At 37.5% G+C, this 22,625-nt stretch overlaps 1 pseudogene across 1 annotated transcript in view; it reads right to left on the bottom strand.

Moving 5' to 3' along the window:
* The window catches only part of OFCC1 (orofacial cleft 1 candidate 1 (pseudogene)), a 506,631-nt pseudogene that overhangs the window by 185,528 nt on the left and 298,478 nt on the right, over positions 1-22,625 (bottom strand). Inside the window, exon 6 of the transcript NR_170155.1 lies at positions 18,013-18,099. The product of NR_170155.1 is annotated as an orofacial cleft 1 candidate 1 (pseudogene) (transcript). The remainder of the gene's footprint in view (positions 1-18,012; positions 18,100-22,625) is intronic.

A 22,625-nucleotide genomic window follows, 5' to 3' on the forward strand; every position in this document is an offset into this window, starting at 1 on the left:
CTATAATTTCAAGTATGTGAAAATCACTTAATTGGCCTGAGAATGTCACTTCCTCCAAAAAGTAAAGTGGCAGATGATTGATAGAAAATTTTATATTAAAAAGCCATATTTTTTAAAAACTGTGTACCCTGTGATGATTAAAATTGAGTTATAATCCTGACTCAGCAACTTATTAGCTGTAAAACCTTTCCCAAGCTACTTGGCCTTTCTGTGCCTTAGGCTGCTCTTCTATAAGATGGGGGTGATAACAGTATCCATGTATGGGAGCCGTGAGGTTAAATTATGCAAAGCGCTTAAATAGTGTCAGTAGGTATGCAATGAACGTTAGCTATTATATTATTAAAGGGCCCTTTTCTCTATTCTATGACACTTATTTTAAAAAGTAATTTAGTTGATGTACATGAAAGTACCAAATCGTAACACTCCACATAACGACATTATAACAGCATTAGAGAAAATTAATACTACAAAACATTTGTAAGCCAACGAGATCCATGATAATTTTGCCATACTAGTTATCTGCAGCATGCACTCATTCCTTCATTCATTCATTGAACAAACATTCAATGAAGATAAACTTTGTTTTCTGCCAGGCCCTGTTCTTGGTGCTGAAGATAAAAAGATACAGCCCTTTCTCTGAATGAACTCATGGAATATAGCACAAGTACCTTGATTTTATTATTGAAGTGTTATTAGATTTGTTTGATATCAGATATGGGAATTTCTTTCTCCTGAAAGCAATGCAGTTTCTCATTTCTGTCTTACACAGCACGAGTTTTCAGTTTGAGGCTCATAAATCCATTGCTGATATATAAATGAGGGCTGAGTTTCTCAAGAAAGTTTAGTTATACCAGAAACTATATAGAAATAAGTAATCAAAGAAGAGGGTGAACTTATTCAATCCTTTGTCAAAATGGTGTTGTTTTGTTTTTAAATTATGCATAATAAAATAATGTTGAGTGTGGCATACTCAGTATGGAGAAACTGCAGCAAAGTTTTATAAAAAGTAGACGTTTTGCTCTAAAACAAAAACCAAAAATTCACGTGTTAATATTATCTCAGAAATGTTTATTTGGTTTATTAAAGCTCAGAAGACTTCTCACCAAAAGGCTAATTGGCAGCCAATTGAGCTTGCCTTGAACTTTGAGGAAATATTTTGATCATTGTTGGTGGTGACCCATATATAAATGAAAAATAAAGAAGAGCTGGAGGTAAGTCAAGAACTATTTTACTGTAATTTTAAATACCCAACTTTCAGGATCTGCAAGTTTAATCAGATACGCAAATCTACTAACGATTATTCCGTTCTCCTATTTTTCGTTTTCCTCCGTGTGGTTTTATGAGAACACGGAAACCTACACAGCAGTTTCCCCAAATAATGTTTCAGTCAGTGTCACTTCATTACAACAAGAACAAAGAAAATCAATTCCGTGCCGGGGCCACTGCCTGTGTGGAATCTGCACGTTCTTCTCATATCTGTGTGGGTTCTCTCTGGGTCCTCTTGTTTCCTCTCACATCCCAAACATGTGCCCATTAGGTTCACTGGTGTGTCTACACTGTCCCAGTGTGGGTGAGTGTGGGTGTGTGTGAATGCAGCCTGCAATGGGATGGTGTCTTGTCCAGGGCTGGGTCCTACCTTGTGCCCTGAGCTGCTGGGACAAGACTCCAGCTACCTTCCACCCTAAACTGGAATAAGTGGGATTATTTTTTCTTATTTAGCCAATATTTCTCATTTTTAATAATTTTTCTTAAACATATGTATAGCCTACATTTATTTCAATGCTTAAAATTGTAAGTGTTTTGGTCTTTATTTAGATGTTTGGTGATGTATTTGTGACTAGAAATATGCCATAGGAACTTAACTCTTGTTTCTATCAATTAGCCTATGGTAAATTAATTTTTATACGTTATTTCACTTAAAGTCGCAGTTTCCAAGAACCTATTGACAACATAAGTGAGGACTTACTCTACTCCCAATAATGACAACACACATTCTTCTTTTGCCCCAGTCCATGCAGAGGTAGGTGGCTTCCTATTCTGGTTCCTGCCCTCTCTGGCTCCTGAACTTCCATAAGAACCCATGAAACAACCATACCCTAAGACTTAGTTGAGTAGTAAACAAATGTGACTGCCCCAATCAGAAATAAAGAATTTCTGCCCTTCTGATTCTTATTTAATAATACAACCTTAAATTCTCTGACAATCTATTTGTACTGAATTTCAGTTCTAAGAAGTTATGTTCACTGAAGAATAATCAGCCCATCTCACCTATAAATACATAAAATGTTATCCTTGGACGGTGCCTGACCACCAAGGATACATGCTTGGACCATCCTATTTTGAAAGACTGTAGAATCAATTGCTTCACTCATTCACAGATTGCTGTTATGCTGTGAACCCACACATTTTTTAAAATGATATAAAATTTCTTCAGTAACCTCAGTTGCCTCAACTTCATAGCTCCTAATATTGGAAAGGAGAATGGAGACTATTTTGTGTTCCAACATTAACTAAAAATACTACCAATTGCAGAAGAAAAAAAAGATGGTATATAAAATAAATCATAATGAAAAAAGTAACAAAATAGCATCCTTTTTGTTTTCCAAATGAAACAAAAACTTTTCACCTAGAGGTGCTTATAGAATGTGACCTGATACTAAGTAAATACAAAATTGTCACTGCTAAATAATTTTCCAAGCAAAGATAATGACACTAAAATATGTTTATTCGTTCTCAACGGTAGCCTGCTTCTCTTGGAATTCCAGTCAGCTTTGGCAAGAATGTCTTTATCCAAGTGTCTCCAGAGTATTCTGGGCAGCTCAAAAGGTATGCCAAATAGGGTGGGTGCTGTGGCTCACACCTGTGATCCCAGCACTTTGGGAGGCCAAGACGGGTGGGTTACCTGAAGTCAGGATTTTGAGATCATCCTAGCCAACATGGTGAAACCCCATCTCTACTTTAAAAAAAAAAAAAAAAAAATTAGCCGGGCGTGGTGGTGGGCGCCTGTAATCCCAGCTACTTGGGAGGCTGAGGCAGGAGAATCGCTTGGACCTGGGAGGCAGAGGTTGCAGTGAGCCGAGATTGTGCCACTGCACTCCAGCCTAGGCAACAGAGCGAGACTCTGGAAAAAAAAAAAAAAAAAGGAAAAAAGGTATATTAAGTGGCAAACAAGGAATTTAAAAATATAGATAAAATAATAAACGAAAAGAAAGCCAAGTGTTAAAAGCTTTTGGTTAAAATTGTGAGCCTTTTAAATGTAAAATGATATTTCTGTCCTCTAGAGATTCTTTCATATTTATAATAATAGGGCATTTTTCTTGCTCACCTCACAAGAGGCAAAGAATATGACGGAAACTTGCAAACTATACAGAATGGCAGTGCCATTATCATTTCCCTTAAAGTAAAATATGGACAATTACCAGTTTTTTTTTACCATAAAATACTTGTGCTCCTGCCTTTTTGCCTTTTATAGTTTCATTCATTAAATTTTTAAATTATATCTGCATTTATACTTAATATAATGTTTAAGGGATGGTATATGAGCTACTATATTGGTTAAGTTTTAAAAAATCATGTAAATGTCTCAAATGATTTTTGAAAATCAATTTTCCCTCCAAAATGTTTTCTATACTAACCACAGAGTAGAATATATGTTTCTTCTTACAGAAAATATAATGATTAATCTGTTAAAGTACCTTATGAAATTCATCTTGAATTTACATAGATTTTATTACGGATTTTACATTTTAAAATTTCTCCTATATCCAAGTATCTGATCTCAAACTTGACATTCACTCACTTCACAATGTTAGATTTGAGTCACGCCTACTGCCAAATGCCAGGAAGTTATGAAGAATTTGGAAAAGTAGGGTTAACTGCCAGTATATACTAGTTTTTTTTCAGAATGTTTCTCTGGCATCTACTTAGTCTGGGCTAGCATATTTATTCCACCATTAGCCTAAATGCTACATTTTATTTATTAAATCAAGACAAAACCTTAAAAAACACTACTCATTAATCACAAAAAAAAAACCTCCTTAAATCATGGTTTCCTAATTGAATAAACTAAATGTATGGATTGTTCACAATTAAAATTCAGAGGAAAACCTAGTTATCTGCAACTGATTAGGAACAGGTACATAGCACACAGTAGATATTAGGGAATGTCCAGGAAAACATTTCCTCCTGGTAGCTAACATGCAAAATAAAATTATTTTATTTCTAATTAAATACATATTTGAAAAACAATAATTTCCTCTGTGACTAAATTTATTAAAACTATGCACTTAATCAATTAATTTTATTCTTTACTAGATAATTGTCAGACCTAAGTCACTTCATAACATCTTTCTTACAAGCTTTCCAATGTCAGTGGGATATAAAAAGTCAGCACAAATATTTCTAAAGTAGCTTTCTATACTTAGGCAACTCAATTGGTCCTATGATAAGAATAAAAATGATATTGCATCATTTGGATGGCCCTTGAAGTGGGATGCTGTCAGTTGACTCTGAGAGTGTTACCTCCCCACTTCCCCTCTCATCCTCCTCACTCTTGGTTTTGTTCCTTCTACTCTCATCATGTTCTGGGATACTGTATTAGTCCATTTTCACACTGCTATAAAGACAGACTTGAGACTGGGTCATTTACAAAGAAAAAAATGTTTAATAGGTTTACAGTTCCACATGGCTGGGGAGGCCTCAGGAAACTTACAATCATGTTGGAAGGTGAAGGAGAACAAGGCGTGTTTTATGATGTCAAAGCATGAGAGAGAGAAAGAGCTGAGGGGAACTGCCAAACCCCTTTAAAGCACAAGATCTTGTGAGAACTCACTCACTGTCACAAGAACAGCATGGGGGAAGTCGTCCCCATGATCCAGTCACCTCCCACCAGGTCCCTCCCTTGACATGTGGGGATTACGATTCGAGATGAGATTTGGGTGGGGATACAGGCCCAAACCATGTCAGGTGATACCCTGCTGCCTTGATGGCCTTAGACAGGAAGCATCAGCCACAGCACCTTTTCAAGATACTTACAGAACCCGCCTATCCCATGTAGACTGATACCTGTGCAATAAAAAGTGGTCACATTAAGTGACCAGATTTTTTTAAGTTTCTGTAGTGTTGTGGTTATCATGTTCACCTATCACATTCGTCTTACCTAAGGCCAGATGTCTGCCTTTATCATGAGATCTCAGCCAGCAGAGAAGTTCTTCTCCAGGTACTTCTGGAGTCTTCAGTGGGTGACTTACATTAGCTCACATATTAGTCCTGGCTGATGCTTCCTATAGCTTCAGGAATGATTACATCACTGCTGACATTGCTGTCACCCCTGCTAACTAAAGGTCGACTCCAGAGTGATTTTCTCATCAGTTCTATGCTGGATACTTGGGAATTCAGTGATGCCAGTCCCACTGGACTCTGCAACACTCTCTGCCCCAACACACACATCCACAGCCACGTTCATGCACACACACACATACACAAAGATACAACCATACAGGCATAGACATCCACGCACCCACACAACCATATACACAGACATGCACATACACAACCACACACAATACTTTTGCAAAGTGAGAAGGCAAACTCTTCATTTTTCTATGTTCTACTCTGTCTACGGGAAAAAAAATGGGGGTCCCACAGTAGATGTGCTTGGATACTCATATTTCACAAAGTTTACTAACAGCATCCTTTCGCTATGCAATAGATGTATATATGAGATTTTTCTCTTTTTATTTTCTCCAAGATGTACATCAACTATCAGGATCTCTAAATCTAATGAGTGTTCAAATAATAACCACTGTACTAGACAATTCCCAGCTCAGTCTCACTGGTAACCTTAGTCAAGGGCCCCATCTCTTTTTACAATCTGAATTCTTCTATCATCCCAGGTTCTCCATATGTTAGGATGAGAAGCAATCACTCCAGTCACCATATAAATCAACAGTTATAGATAAGTAGTTTAGGAGAAGAGACTCAGCCAACAACACTCACCCCAGCTGGGATGGCCCGCATCTCCATTTAAACATCTTGCCTTATGTAATTATCAGTTCACCATTACAATAGCAATAGAAAGTAAGAATAGGTAATGGTCTCAACAAATATAGAAAATGAGTAGCAAGAAACATAAAACGTTAACTGCCACACACTTGGACACATCTCAATCCCCACACACCCATAAGAGGTTCAAATTATTTAGCGCTATTTTACAAAGAGGTTTAAGTTCACATAAATATCTGAATCAAGGATGACAGCTCTGAGTTCTAACACCAAATCTGAAGGTTTTTCCTACTTATGATGTTGCCTTGTGTGTTCATGGAACTTCCCGACACAGTGAACATAAGAACATTGCGAGCACTGACCTGAGAATGGGTTTTAGAATCTTTGCTCTCTATAGTACCTCCTGCTTCTGATTACAGCAGTTACTTTGAGCAAGAGTATCCATGGATGACTCATCTCATCCTCCATACAATGCAATGAAGTAGATCTAATTTCCTGTGAATTACAGAGGAGGAAACTGAGGTCAAGGAAGTTAAGTAACTTGCCTATGATCTGACACCCTGTGAGTGGCAAAGCCATGGCCCCAACAGAGGTCTGACTCCAGCTCAGCCTCCTTCCCCCATACGACTCTGTCATATGAATCTGTGTTCATAGGTCAGCACATGATTTCTCTTGCAATTATTCAGCCAGTCAGTTTAGGTCGAATTTCACATAATTTAAGACATATTGATTAGGAGAAGAAACAGGATCACAAATTTCAGTGTTTAAAGGGAATCACGGTCATATCTGCAGAAGACTTGAATTCTCCCGAATGTGTGGACTGTCTCCTAATACTAACAAGTGGTAAAAATGCAGGCTTGAGTTCTACTTGTGTTGAACTCCTAGACACTGTGCTGGCCTTTGAATGATAGCCTCACAACAGTGTAGCAGGTGAGCATTCACCTTATCTTGTACAGAATGAGGATTTAAAAATATTAACCTCAACTTATCTTGTACAGAATGAGGATTTAAATTATCTTGTACAGAATGCCTCAACTTATCTTGCACAGAATGAGGATTTTAAAATATTAACTATAGGTGTGGTGGCTCATGCCTGTAATCCCAGCACTTTGGGAGGCTGAGGTGGGCAGATCACGAGGGCAGGAGTTCAAGACCAGCCTGGCCAGCATGGTGAAACCCCATCACTACTAAAAATACAAAAATTAGCCAGGCGTGGTGGTACACACCTGAGGTTCCAGCTACTCGGGAGGCTGAGACAGGAGAATCGTTTGAACCTGGCAGGCGGTGGTTGCAGTGAGCCAAGATGGCACCACTGCACTCCAGCCTGGGGAACAGAGCAAGACTCCATCTCAAAAATAAAATAAAATAAAATAAAATAAAATAAAATAAAATAAAATAAAAAATATTAGCCACATATTCCAAAGAAATCCACGTATTCATGATCAAAAACATGATGCAAATTGAAACAGATACAATGGCACTGTATGGTGCAAAAAAAAAAAAATTGGAAATGAACTGTTAATGTATCAATACACATCTGAAAAACAATTGTTTTGTTTGTTTGTTTGTTTTGTTTTGTTTTTGAGATAGAGTCTTGCTCTGTCACCCAGGCTGGAGTGCAGTGGCACAATCTCAGCTCACTGCAAGCTCTGACTCACAGGTTCACACCATTCTCCTGCCTAAGCCTCCCCAGCAGCTGGGACTACAGGCGCATGCCACCACACCCAGCTAACTTTTTTGTATTTTTAGTAGAGACAGGGTTTCACTGTGTTAGCCAAGATGGTCTCCATCTCCTGACCTCATGATCCACCCGCCTTGGCCTCCCAAAGTGCTGGGATTACAGGCGTGAGCCACCGTGCCCGGCCTTGTTTGTTTGTTTTGAGACAGAGTCTCACTGTCACCAGGCTGGAGGGCAGTGGCGTGATCTTGGCTCACTGCAACCACTGCCTCCCGGCTTTGAGCAATTCTCCTCTCTCAGCCTCCCAAGTAGCTGGGACTACAGGTGAGCACCGCCACACCCAGCTAATTTTTGTATTTTTAGTAAAGATAGGGTTTCACCATGTTGGTCAGGATGGTCTTGAGCTCCTGACCTCGTGATCTGCCTGACTCGACCTCCCAAAGTGCTAGGATTACAAGCATGAGCCCCCGTGCCTGGCCACAGTTGTTTTTAAAAAGGGTTATGTGCAAAGGCAGAGCCATGCATCCTTTTCGCCTCCATGTCCTTTGAGAGCCCTGTCTTCATAAAGATGTGTGGCAGGGTTAACACATGAGTGAAGTAAAGCCTAGCCAGTGAGATCAACCACCCCAGGAACTGTATTAATTGCCCACTGCTGCCACAAAAAAACTATCACAAACATGACAGCTGAAAACAACAGAAATTATTGTCTCAGAGTTCTGGTGGCAAGAGGTCTGAAGTCAAAGTGTTCTCAGGGTGGGGGCTTCCTTAGACTCTCTGGAGAATCCATTTCATTCCTCTCTCCTAGCTGCTGGCAACTGTGGCGATCCTTGGCGGTCCTTTGCTTGTAGATGCATCAATTTCTGCCTCCTTCACATGTCTGAGTCTCAAATCGCTCTCTCCTCTCTCTTAAAAGGACAACAGTCATCGGACTGAGGGTCCATCCTAAATTCAGGATGATCTCATCTGGAGATCCTTAACTTAATTATACCTGCAAAGACTCTATTTCCAAATTAGGTCACATTCCCAGATACCAGGGTGTACACATTTTTGGAGAACACAATTCAAACCACTATCAGAGCCATCTAAGTGGCTCTGTTAAGGAAGACTGTATTTGCTAATTTGGGTCACTTGCTTGAGAAAGTTCAAAATAGACACAACCTTAATATGTCTACAATATTCAGACCTATTTGGCACAAAGGAAGATATGAAACAGTTTTATGGAATTTCCATACTCCAAATTAGAGGATATCCCCCCACCCCCCACCTAAGCTATTCCTATCTCTTCTCAAGTTGCAAATATCTCCACTTGTGACCTGTTGTTATAAAAGATCTCATTGATAATAGTCTTTTTCATCTGACGAATTTTTTCCTCTTTAGCCTGAATCTACTTACCTTTCACAAAACAACACACACACACACACACACACACACACACACACACACACACACACACATATGCCTGGAGCTAGACATGTAAGATTCTTTTATTTTTATCACTTCTCTATCTGGTGGTTCAGAGCACATAATGCCACATTACACATAAATAGAACCTACAGATACAGAAATCAGAGGAGAAATCAGATTGTCTCTGAAGTCAAGATAGTCTAATGGCTAAAGACTCTTGTGTGGCACAAGTCACAACAGTTAGAATGCCCAAGTTCCTTAAATAGTGACTTTAGAAATGCTAGAATATTCATGTAGTAATACAGTGCTTTTGCAAATAAGTCCAAGCAGTTTCTTAGTTTTTCCAAGTAAATGTATGCTGGTTTCAGGTTTTATTATCAGTAATTCATAATACACTAGAAATAAGCTCTCTAACACAAAATAAAACCAGATAATGGAAGTAAATTGTACAAACTAAATTTCACACACTTTGTAAAACGTGTAGGCAGTAATTATGCTCCTTATCAATATCCAGGGTGGGTAAGGATATCGATAAGGAGCGTAACTTCTGCCTACACATTTTACAATGTGTATAAAAAATAAGGAAATGGCTCAATGAAGTCATAACTAGTGTGTGTTCTAGGAACAGTGTGCTGGTAAGCAAAATCGGTAGACCATGTGTAGGCCTGACACTTCAACTTGTCATTTGAAAAAGAGAGATTATCTTACATTTCTCAATATACTCTTAATGCTGACCTGTTCTAATGGAGAACTTCCAAGCAGAATTATAGTTTTCTGAGATCTTTGGAACTCCTCAAGGTGAGCAGTGGTGGCTTCGCTGGCTTCTTTGTGGATTTCGTGACTCTTATTGGAACTCCCAGGTGCTTCAGAATTCAGAGTCTCCTCCCGGCCACTCTCATCTGTTTACCCCAAGAAAATCACATGGAATTCCACTTGTTTTTGTCAATTTAATGTTGACTAAACACACAATAGACTCATCACTGATTTTCTTATATGCAGTAAAGTTTGGTTTTTTCATAATCGACCAACTAGCAAATTATTTTCTATTTCATGTACTGGAAAACAACTAAAGCACAGAAGTTTGAAGATTAAAAAACAACCACCACCACCTTTGTTTATCCCATAATGTTTACAAACTCAACAAAGTACAGCTATACATTTAAGCCTTTTTCCCAGTTACCAAATATATCTTGAAATGTGGATACTGTGCTTTTCTGTACGTTAATATTACATGTTGTTTACTCCAACATCTTACCACTTACTCACTGTGTTGCTGTAACCAGTTTAGGAGATGAATAGGCTTAGAAGAAGCCAGAGCTCTCTGGTTCATTTTCCCACCTTAGGATCTCTGAGAACATTTCCTGAGCTCTGCACACAGAGGCACTTTATTTGGGCTACCTTGTTTATTTGCATAGAAATGCCAGCATTTATATAAATGGTATGTGTACTTTACTTCACTATCACCTGAAAACAGTATCATGTACAAAAGATATCTATTCATCCAGCCAGATGCATGCTGTAAATAGAAAATGATCTTCCTTCTTCCAGTCTGTAAAAAATGCTGGAAGGTATAATACGAAATTTTCCACGTCTCCTATTCTAGAATTTTAACAAGAATCATGAGAAGAGAGCTTCTTTTGCAGGAGGAAATGAGATGGCATGCTGGAGAAAGCACTGAGTTAGTGTCCAGAGGCCCACTGGCCTTGTTCTATGCTCCCTGATGCACCATATTACTTTGCATAAGACTTTATACTTTCTAAGTCTCAGCTACATCCTCTTCTATAAAATAGTTCATAAAATGCCTCTTCTATAAATTCTATGAGACTTTTGTAAGTCCATAAATGATTTCCGAAGATCTATTAGATGCTATCTGTAAATGTGTGACTTGGGTGGTTTCAAAGGATCCAAGCTGAAAAAGCCATCAGAATGGAAAAGAAACAGCAGCACTAAAAGGTATTCAATAGGTTTGCTGACTCAGAAGTTAGACTAAACACAGAAAGGCCTGACTTAAGCATAACCATTTATGATGCTTAATTTTAAGCATCAGCTTGACCAGGCTATGGTGCCCACCTGTTTGCCCAAACACCAATCTAGATGTTGTTGTGAAGGTGTATTTAGATGTGATTAATATTTAAATCAGTAGAGTTTGAGTAAAGCAGATTACTCTTCACAATGTTTGTGGGCCTCATCCAATCAGTCGAAGTTCTTAAACATATAGATTGAGGCTTTCCAAAGAAGAAGGAATTCAGTCTCAAGGCCACAGCGTAGACACTCTGGTTGCATTTCCAGCCTGCTGGCCTGCCCCACGCATTTCAGTCTCAAGACTCCAACATCAACCCCTACCTGAGTTTCCAGACTGCTGCCTGTGGAATTCAGATGCGAGACTGCAATTTCAACTCCTGCCTGAATTTCACATCAACTCTTACCTGATTCTCCAGCCTGCCAGCCTGTCTGAAGGATTTCAGACTTGCTATCCCAGCTACGGAGTGAAGCAATTTCTTAAAATAAATGCCTCTCTATATATTATCAAACCAACTGGATTCCACTTCTCTGGATAATTCTAATACACCATTTGAACTTGGGATCCCTCAGAATGAGGTGGCTTGAAAACTGAGTTTGCTTTGTTTATAAAGGCAAAAAGTAATAAATGGTTGACCACACAAACTGATAGCAAAAAAGTAAAGGGGAGGTGTACCCAAGCAGGAATAAAATTTTGAAGGGTATTATACTGTACATGGGGATAAAAATGGGGACTAACCTTTAAAGGTTGTTATGAAGTTTAAACAAGTGAATTATTTAGAACTGCTTAGGACAGTTCCAGGCACCTAGGAAGGACTCAAATGTTTAACTGGCATTAATATTTTCACCAGCAGGATTACTGTTACTATCTTTATTATTCTAGGTGTCACATCTGCTCATGTAATAATAATTTAGTCCTCATAACTACTCCATATGACAGGTGTTATATGTTCATTTGGCAAAAATGACAAAGAAAGGTTAATTAATTGGTCCAGGGTCACACAGCTAGTAAATGATGAAGTCTAAGCATAAATTTAATAGAAATAATAACTATTAGAAGACTTTATCATGATCAGCCCTCTCCTATTATATGCTTTGAGGAGTTATTATAATAAGGAAGACAAAATGATTGAGAAGCACTAAGCACATACAGTAAAAACATAATAATAATAGAATTATTCCCCATGAAATATACAGCAACTTATATTTAATTCTTTGGTAAAAACTGTAATATGGTTCTGGCATGAATTTATATGTGTTAAACTAAGAATTTAGAATTGAGTTTTTTAAATGTTACCTTTAAATTCTTAGTTTAATACATAAAATAAGTTTTTACTTAAAGAGCCTAACATTTGCAAATATGAATTTCCATACTAAGGTTGAGAACAATATACTATTTGCCTTCTACCACCCCAAAGCATTTGTTCAAAAGCTAAGACCAGTCTTTAAAAAGAGTAGCACATAGCCTCATAAATTAGTGAATCCAAGTATGCTGTATGCCATTTTAAGATCCTTCAACAGTAAATCTTAAATCATTTTCACCATTTAGGGTTATAAATTGTATGCAATTATAGGAAATTGGGTCATAATTACTTTTCCCCTAAACTTCAGCTACATTTAAATATCTACAACAATCAAAAGCTCACGTAGGTTATCAGTGAATGGTTATATTTAGAAAAGATAGGTGAGCATTTGCAAGAAACCATTTCAATCAATTTACAACTAATATTAAAACAAAAGATTGAAGATAATTGGTCTCTTACCTTGGGGTTCTCCTTGTCTGCTCTCATCAAAAAGCTTCGTTAATCGATTATAGAAAATTCTATCGTCATCTTGTGGGAGTGTTAAAAGAACATGTGCATGATAACTTTCTCATCAATTAATTTATAGATGTGCAAACATAATTACAAAAAGAAATTATTAATCATTATGGCTATTTAGTTATATTCTGGTTCATAGACAAAATTTCTACTCAATATGCTGCCTTGTTCTGAAAAAGAAAACCCTTTTATAAATAAATATCATTAGAACAATGATTTTAAAATGTATATTGCAAGGCATGCATAATAGGATACTTCTCCATTAAAACTGATCTCATGTTCAATGAATTATGCCATCTATTACTCAAGAATCATTTCAGAATAACCCATTTTGGTTTGTTAAAACATGCAATAGAATACACAAGTGATCAAAATGAATGAGTGTTTTCCATTAGCTACTCTCTATATATCATTTTTTTACTATTTATGTATAAGGAACAACAAAGTTAGATGGTTCTGGATTATTTTATATGTGCTATTGCAATATAGTAGGAAATACAGGGATTCTAACTTCTTTTGTGAATTTAAAGCATTAAGGCCATGTCGTCACCCCCTGCAAAACACATGCATACACACACACACACACACACACACACACACTATTAAAACATTATTCTGGAAGAGGGTCAAAAAGGTCATCCAGGTGGTTATCCCTCTTTGGAGAACTCTGACTAATCTACAAGCTATTATTACCTACATCAGGTCATATGCAAAATTGGAAAATAATAAAATGTTACGCACCTACTACATAGTAGCACTGAAATCTGTATTCTATATTAAGTAAAAGGCATTTAATGGTAATTAATAATAAAGTATTTTGCGATTTCTACTCTCTACCATATACAAATGAACATCATATTACCCTTCCAAAATTAGTGTAAAAAAATCATGCTGGTGTTGGGTTATTTACATTGAAAATAGAGTATAATTTCTATTAAACATAGGAAGTAACCTACTTATGATCTTTCTCTTTATACCATTACTTCCAGGAAGCTCAATGTAAAAATGAGTGCTTAATTATGGTAACAATATTGTCCTGTGTTTTTTTGCAGGTGTTCTCAAATCCCCCCTTCATCTTTACTTGAACTTTTCTATAATTATGTGCATTTCTGCTTCTGTTGTAGGCTACCTCAAATTGTTTTGGAAGTAAAGTACAGATTATAAACAAATAAATATAAGAACAGAGTTCAACCAGGCCAGCTGCAGTGGCTCATAATACCAGCACTTTGGGAGGCTGAGGCAGGCAGATTGCTTGAGCCCGGAAGTCTGAGACCAGCCTGAACACCACAGCAAGACCCCATCTCTACAAAAAATGCAAAATTTAGCCAGGCATGGTAGCGTGTGCCGTAGTCCCAGCTACTCAGGAGACTGAGGTGGGAGGATCACTTGAGCTTGGGAGATGGAGGTTGCAGTGAGCTGAGATCATGCCACTGCAACTCCAGCCTGTAAAAAAACAAACAAACAAAAACACCTCAACCAAAGTGAAGATAGATGGGTGCAAGCAAGACTTTTGGGGTGTTCCCAAAATTCTGCCACACGAAATGCTGTGAACTGCAGCTTGCTTCAGACTGCCCCTCTCTCGGACCCTCCCAGCAGCTCTGATGTTACGTGTCTGCGTAACCTCTAACTCCATGCCACAGAGAAAGTGGAAATATTGCTAATTAGCACTGGTTGACCCCTAAATGGAGTCACGGTGCAGGTGTGAGTACCAGGCAAAAAGAAAAAGAGGACATTATGAATTGCAGACTCAAGGCTGAGGACTCATCTTATCAGGGGGCACTGAGCTGAGCTCTCTTTCTGCATACCCGCATCTTCTTGTTTCTTCTGTTCTCCTATTACAACTCTGAAAGATATTGTCATACGATTGAGATGTTTCATGTTTTGCCACCACTTGGACAATGGGACTGAATCTCAAAACTGGCCAATAAAAGGCTTTTGGTCAATAGCTGTGTTTTTACACTGAAGGAATTCACCAGTGGAAGCCATTATCAGAAGAAACCCCAAGTGACTGTGAATACTTGATCCCACCTCAAATATGTCATTTTTTTTTTTTTTTGAGACAGAGTCTCACTCTGTTTCCCAGGCTGAAGTGCAATGGTGCAATCTCAGCTCACTACAACCTCTGCCTCCTGGGTTCAAGTGATTCTCCTGTCTCAGCCTCCCAAGTAGCTGGGATTACAAGTGCATGCCACCATGCCCAGCTAGTTTTGTATTTTTAGTAGAGATGGGTTTCACCATGTTGTCCAGGCTGGTCTCGAATTCTTGACTTCGGGTGATCCATCCGCCTCGGCCTCCCAAAGTGCTGGGATTACAGGTGTAAGCTACCATACCCAGCCAAATAAGTCCTCTTTTTAAAAATGTAGTATAATATTACTATATTATTATATTATATATTACTTATATATTACAAGTGACAATATATAATATAGAAGTATGTTATATATTATATATATTTATATATTATATTTTATATATTTATATATATATAAGAATATTTCTGGAAATAGGACCCTTTAAGTGGATTTACAAAAACTAATTTCCACTGGTGAAACTGGACAATTTAAAGCCAATCTATCATGACGGTAGTTTATAGAGAGTCAGATATGATCCAGGGAAAGTTAGCACATCACAAAACACCCTTGTCAGAGAGCAATTACTTATTTTCCCCAAAAATATTTTCAAATATCTGATGTGAACTTGTTATCTTTGATAATGGAATGTTAGAAAATGGAGCTCACTGTATGATGAATATCAGACTAATCTTGACAGATCTAGTATCTGGTCACATGAAGTTTATGGGTTAATATAAAAGTGCAGGACTCTACATTATTCATTGGATTTTGGGCAAATATGTGTCACATACATATTATGTGTGAGACACTAAGTGCTGAATATACAGCAACCAATGAATAAGATGCATAGAATTCCTTCCCTCATAGAGTTTCCATTATATTTTCTTTTCTTGATACCATAAGCAGAGTAGGGCTTAGCTATTAGGAATGGGCCTTTTGTTCATGGAAACACCCTAGAAGGTGGCAGAAATATAGAGGAGACTGATCTTTTACCAGTCACATTTGGCCCATTGCATCTCATTTATATCATGTGAATACACAGGGTTCCAGGGTAACAAAACATAACTTATAGAAAATCTAGGAGAATGGAGAAAGCCTGTTTTTCAACCATGAGTTCCTAAGCCATAGCATGAGAAACAAAGAGCCTGGATAGATGAAATGAAGATACATAAATCCTTACCTATTTTGAGAGAAAAAGAAATCTAAAGGCCAGGTATGGTGGTTTACCCCCTGTAATCCCAGCACTTTAAGAGGCCGAGACAGGTGGATTGCTTGAGCCCGGGAGTTTGAGACCAGCCTGGGCAACATGGTGAAACTCCATCTCAACTAAAAAAATAATAATAATAAGCAAAAAATTAGCTAGGTGTAGTGGTGCACATCTGTAGTCACAGCTACTCGGGAGGCTGAAGTGGGACAATCACCCGAGCCCAGGAAGTTGAGGCAGCAGGGAGCCGTGATCATGCCACTGCACTCCAACCTGGGTAAATGGAGTGAGATCCTGTCTCAAAATAAATCTAAAAACTGTTTCCAATATATATAAAATGCACCTTGTAGTTAAGAAGGAACTTCAGAAAGAAGAGGGAAAAAACACTGAGGAAGAAACGAGGGGAAATAATGAAAGCAGAAGAGATGAAAAAGCGGGAAGACAATTAGAAGGAAGTGGAGGAAATAAAAAACAATCGCGAAGGAGCTCATTAGAAACGAGACTCAGTAGAAAGGTGGAAGCCACAGCTGGCAAGAGGGCCAGGCCCCACCTCCCGCAGCACACACCAGCACAGAGCTGGCTGCGGGTAAATACACAGAAAGAGCTTCCTGCTCTGAAACAGGGGACCCCATGTTAGCTGTGGGAGTCTGACAATAATAACTGACTAGGGAAGGGGAAAAGGTGACCAGCAATATTTCATAAAACTTACCTGTCTGTAGTTAGAACCATTCCTTATTCATTGAACACAACTTATTAAGTCACCTTTCCCAAATTAGGGAGTCCTTGCATTCTCAACATTCCACCAAATATAACTATATATTGTGATTCCTAAGAAATTTAAAAGACTTCAGTGGTAATTCAATCAACACCCCTCCCCAGAAATCACTAGAATTGTCTCTTACCCTCCAAGTGTGTTTGGGTAAATAGAAGGTTGAACTTTTCCAGCCTCACATCCACCCTGGCTTTTGAGCTACCAGTGAAAACTGACTCTGAGACTAAGTCCTTGTCTTATCTTGCACATAGGTCTTTTGATAATATCTGTGGATTCTGCATCTTTTAAAAACAGGTTATTGAGAGCTACTTTATAAAATAACCTTTGCACTATGCTTGAGTCCTTTTTGTGAGAATTTACCCTAGTCTTTTATTAAAAGGTGCAGACTCAATGTCTGGCACCCACTGGTGGGATATGATCTGGACTGCAGCTGATTCTAAGTAACATTTGTCATTGTCAATATCTCATCAATAACCTTTATAAAAACCCTATTTTGTAAACTATAAAATATGCATAATATTATGCACTTGAGCAATTTTGAATTGTTACTTTAGAACCGCAACTAGTATTCGAGATTATAGAAGAGGAAATTGTTATCATGTCACTTCCCCTTCGTAATTCTCAAAAGTTAGGTGGTGGTTCCATGAATTCAAGGAAAGAAATTCAGTCATCACAGGATATGGAAATCTCACATGCTAGATGCAATATGTTGAAGAATGCTCATTTTAAATTCAAAAAGCAGAGATACATTTGAAGGTGATGACACTCCTCAGACACATACATGGGCCTTATGATGGCATCAAACTGCTCACGGTAGCATCAGATGAAAGCACATCGCTGCTTCTTCCATCTGACCAGCCCACTGTCCTTGATGAAAAATTACCTTCGCTGCCCATCAAGTTGTTAGTGGTTAAAACTTACCATTTAAATTGTAAGCTGCAAAATCTAAATGGAACTGCATGTGTGATCTTTGTCACCTCATTTTCATGAATGGAAAAGAATATTCTGACACAAAAATTACATACTTAATTCTAGCTCACCTTCTCTGCTGACCTCCGTCGCACACTGCCTTGGGTTTATTTCCTCATCCATCAGTGGGTCAAAGTAATTTCTGCCGTATTCATTTCCTGTGGAAAGTACATGAGGTAAGGGTCAGTGATTATTAGAAGCACATGAACCAAAATGTTAATTTTGAAATCGACACCAGCAAAGAAGGATCATTTTAGCTCTTTTATAAGCTTAATTTTTTTACAAGTCTTCCAGGCCTCCCTTTTTTGTAATTATCATCTTGCAAAAGGTCAGAAAAGGTAATTCAAGAAACAAGTTCATGCTATCTTTCTGTTGCTAAAAAGTTAATGAGAAAATTATCAAATGTAGACTTTAGAATAATAATAAAAAACTTAAGCCAAACTATTTTTAGGATATACTCATGACATGGAAATAGTTGGATTATAATGATGTGTAGAACTCACGGATGATTATATTTACTTACTTATATTTTACTAAGTGTATCATGTTGTTGCGTCCAGAATTCCACAGGCAATTTTACTATCTTAATTATGAAAAACTACAGCAGAATGTACATGTTGCTAGTTGGGTGAAAAGAAAGAAAGAGAGAAAGAAAGGGAGAGAGGGAGGGAGAAAAGTAGGAAGGAAGGAAAAGAAAAAAGACAGGCTTGCTTATAGATCTTTCTTATGTCAACTTCAGTGACATGAAGGGAAGATACAAATGACTTAGCCAGAAATTTATCCCACACACATCAACAATCTCAACACCAGTAACCAAAATTTCTCACATCACGTCTCCCACTTACTCTGTCCTTATCTTCATGACCAAACTGTAGCATGAGGTATAACTTTGTAATAGAGGAAAAGGTCTGCTATTAATTTTCCAAATCTAGTTTCATACTTCCTGCAGACTGAAATGTATATGTCTGTGGCTAGTAATTTGCATTCAGCAAAATGAACCCTACTCTGACGATAATTCAAGTTGCCTCAAACATTGCAAAAGAAATAAAGCCTTGTAGAATGAAAACAACTTTGAAAGTATTGTTTGCAGGGAAGGGTTAATACATATCAGGTATACTGTGATATTCTTTAGTATATTTGTTTTAGGATCAAAAGTAATCCAAACAGCAGCTCCTTTTCCAAGGCTAAATGAAATTTTGATGTGAACCTAGGTTTAATTTCTGTTTCTGGGCTGACACATTTTTGTGGCAGTCTCTGTTCTATCAATGCAGTAAGTACAAAAACTGAAAATCTGCTTTACCTTGAGGTCTCAATAAGCAAAAAATAAATGAGTTTCATTTTTGTTACTTTATTTGTCAACAACTACTAGGCTGATATGAATCTTGGCGGTATGTAATCAAAGTCTTATGTACTGCAATAACACCATTCTTCCTCGTTCACTGTAATTGTTTTTTCTTTTTCTCTACCACAAAGCACTGTGATACTCTAACTATGCCCTTCCATATGCTGGTAAAATAATTCACCTATATTAGCACAAGCATGGTAGCATAGTCCTTATATTGTCAATCAACTACTGGTACCCATAGTCTGGAAGCTTCTCCAATCCAATACAAAACTCAAATTATTTGTCTTCTATAACTGACTAGTAAATGTTAGCAAGATAATCAAAACCTTGGAGGGTGAAAAAAGTTAAGTCATATTTAACCAAAAGTCTATAGTAGTGTATTTAGTTTTTAGATTCTCAAACCATTTGCTTCCCTGTTGTCAGTGGAGAAGTTGGGGTCTTGTCCAGCTGCACATGAATCAGGTCTGTACCCTGGGAGCCTTCCAGACCACCATTTCCCTTCAGAGTTTGATGCCTCCACACACAACTGGAAGCAGGGCCCTTTAAGGTCTATACAGATTGTTCCTTCTGCGTTTCATGTGGGTTGATGTACACGTATCAAGTTACAAATACCACTCCTGGAGGGATTCATTTTGCGTTTCCCATTCTGGGATCCCATGTACAGCATTTTACAAGGAAAGAATTCTGAGGTCACTTGAGCAAAGAGACAGCTTTGACACTCTTAGTTCTGAAGTCCTTTAAACATTCCCAAGTTCTATACTGTAATACAACTCTATAATTTATGTTTTTTTACAATTTAAATGCATTTTATATTAATTTTACATTCTGTTAAGCATCGTTTTACAAATACAGTTTATACTCAACTATTGTCTGTCTTCCCCACTAAAATATAACCTCTGTGAATGCAAAGACATTCTCTCTTAGCTCACTGCAGCACCCACAGTGCCTAGAATATTACCTGGCTTATAGTATGATCTGAATTCCTTAGTTAAATAAACTTCTCTTGGAAACCTATTGTAATACCCTAATCCTTTCATTGGCTAGATGTTCTTTCTTGATTAATTAACCTTTCATCACCTTTTATTCCTATTTTTTCTCTATTCCCCCATCCCATCTCTCCTCCCCATCATCACCACCTACCCCCACACTTTTATTTTTAATTGAGTGCCTTCTAGGAACTGAGCACTGTCTGAATTTAAAAAACCAACACAACAACAACAACAAGAAAACTATGACCCCTGCCTTCAGAGCAGGGGAGAGGAAAGAAGCTAAACATATACAATCCGGTATGATTTAAAGAATGGAATTCTGGTTGAGAATATTAGAGAAGCATCTACCCCATATTGGGGGTGTCAAAGAAGATTTCTTGGAGGAATGGCTACTGGAAATAAGTTTTTGGAAAGGTGATTAGGAATTAGCCAGTCAGAAATACAGGGGAAAGAAATTTTTGACATCTAGGCAAAGGAGAAAAGACTCAAGGGCATAAAGTCATGGGAAGCACAATTTGTTGGTAGATGTTCCTCAACTTTTCTTGGCCTCCTAAAGCTACAATTTAATAAAGCGAATAAGGGAACCCAAACTTCTTCACTAGCCCCTAAATCAATGTTAACTAATGCTTTTGCTGAAATTCTTAGTGCACTGTTGAAAAGTGTCACCTTCCGATGTTGCATATTCATTCATTCACTCAACCAATACTTACTGAGTGCTTATTATGGGACTATAGCAGTAAAATGAAATACCCAAAAATCCCTCTCCTCACAGAGCTTACATTCTGTGAGTGGAAGAATAAGCACAATAAATATGTATATTTTATAGTTTATTAGATAGTGAAAAGTGATGAGAAAAAATAGTGCCAGGTAAGGATGGTCAGACCCCCAGGAAGGGGTGGGGGCTGCATCTCTTGCCTCTACCTTTGTTTCAAACAAGGATGCCACTTAGGATTAAGACACTATGCTTTCAAGACAATTGAGAAAGTAAAGCTATAATGTATTTATTATTATTTTCATAAGCTATTCTTCTAATTGCTTGCATAACATAAATCAGCCTATGAATCAAATAAAAACACTCTCAAATATTAAAATGATTGTTTCTTTCTATTGCTAGTCCTTGAATTAATAAACCAATAATTTAAACACAGCAGGTAGAATTTAGAAGAGTAAGCATATGGAACCTGTTATAAATTTAGAAACAATGGACTCCATCATAACAGTAGCTCCTTTTGCTGCCTTTCATTGGGTGGGATCAGGATGTAATAAAGTAGGATAGTCTTAAGGATATGGTGTATATTACCAGAAGGTAGATTGCTAATAGAATCAATTCCTAAAATGTCCTAATCATTCAGAGTATGCTTTTGGATATATCTAAAATCATCTCACAGGAAAATTAACAGACCCACTGAGAAATTCAAAGTAGGGCATTTAGCAATACAAATACGATAGATTTTAATATGGCTGATATTTAACTCCTTGTAATATTCAGATGAATATATGCCAATCCCATGTGTGTGTGTATACACATATGTATGTTGAAGTATGGTTCTACATTGAAGCAATCAGATGTGATATATAAACCAATCAATCAGTAAATTGGTCTTGTCAATACTCTTGATACTCCATTTTTTGCTTCCAACTTCCCAGTATTAGCTGTTTAATGTCTAGAATCGCATTAGTTAATTCATTTCTCGTGCTATCTTTTATTGAACTAGGAGAGGAAAACACACGCACTTGCCTTCTGCCCTTCCACATGTATCAGGTTTTCCTATCATTTAACTCAGAGCAGCACAGAACATAATCAGGGCTTTTACTTAAATTACACTGTACATGAACTTTGGTCAGGAAATCCTCTAGTGTGCACCCATGCAGTTCCTTGGGGGCTGTAAGAGTGAGAATGAAATTGCCCACCAGAGGAAGGTTAGTAACAATCATCGAAGTGCCTTGACTCAATGAAGCAATCACTTCCTTTCAAATCAGCTACATTAGCTAGAGAGGAAGAAAAACCTAATGCATTTGTGTGTTTCTCAGGAGTTTTTTTTTTTTTTTGGTCCCATTCTTGTTCTTTTCCTGTAAATCCACCTGCTTCAGCTCAGCTTTTCCTCACCGATAACTGTGTTTTCTGTAATATACTATAAACTAAATAACTAAACAATTTGTATTTTATGATTACAACCATGCACCAAAATTTTACCACAGAGGACATTCTCCTGAATAGTATTCTTTTTAAAGCCGTGAAGCCTGGAAGAATAAAATTAAGTTTGATTCCTATGAACTTTATAAATAATTTTGGGAAAACGTCATATTTTTCCCACTTTGAAAATCCAATACAAGTATCTCTAGCTTAAAG

This window comes from Homo sapiens, chromosome 6 (assembly GCF_000001405.40).
Source record: "Homo sapiens chromosome 6, GRCh38.p14 Primary Assembly".
Lineage (NCBI taxonomy): Eukaryota > Metazoa > Chordata > Mammalia > Primates > Hominidae > Homo > Homo sapiens.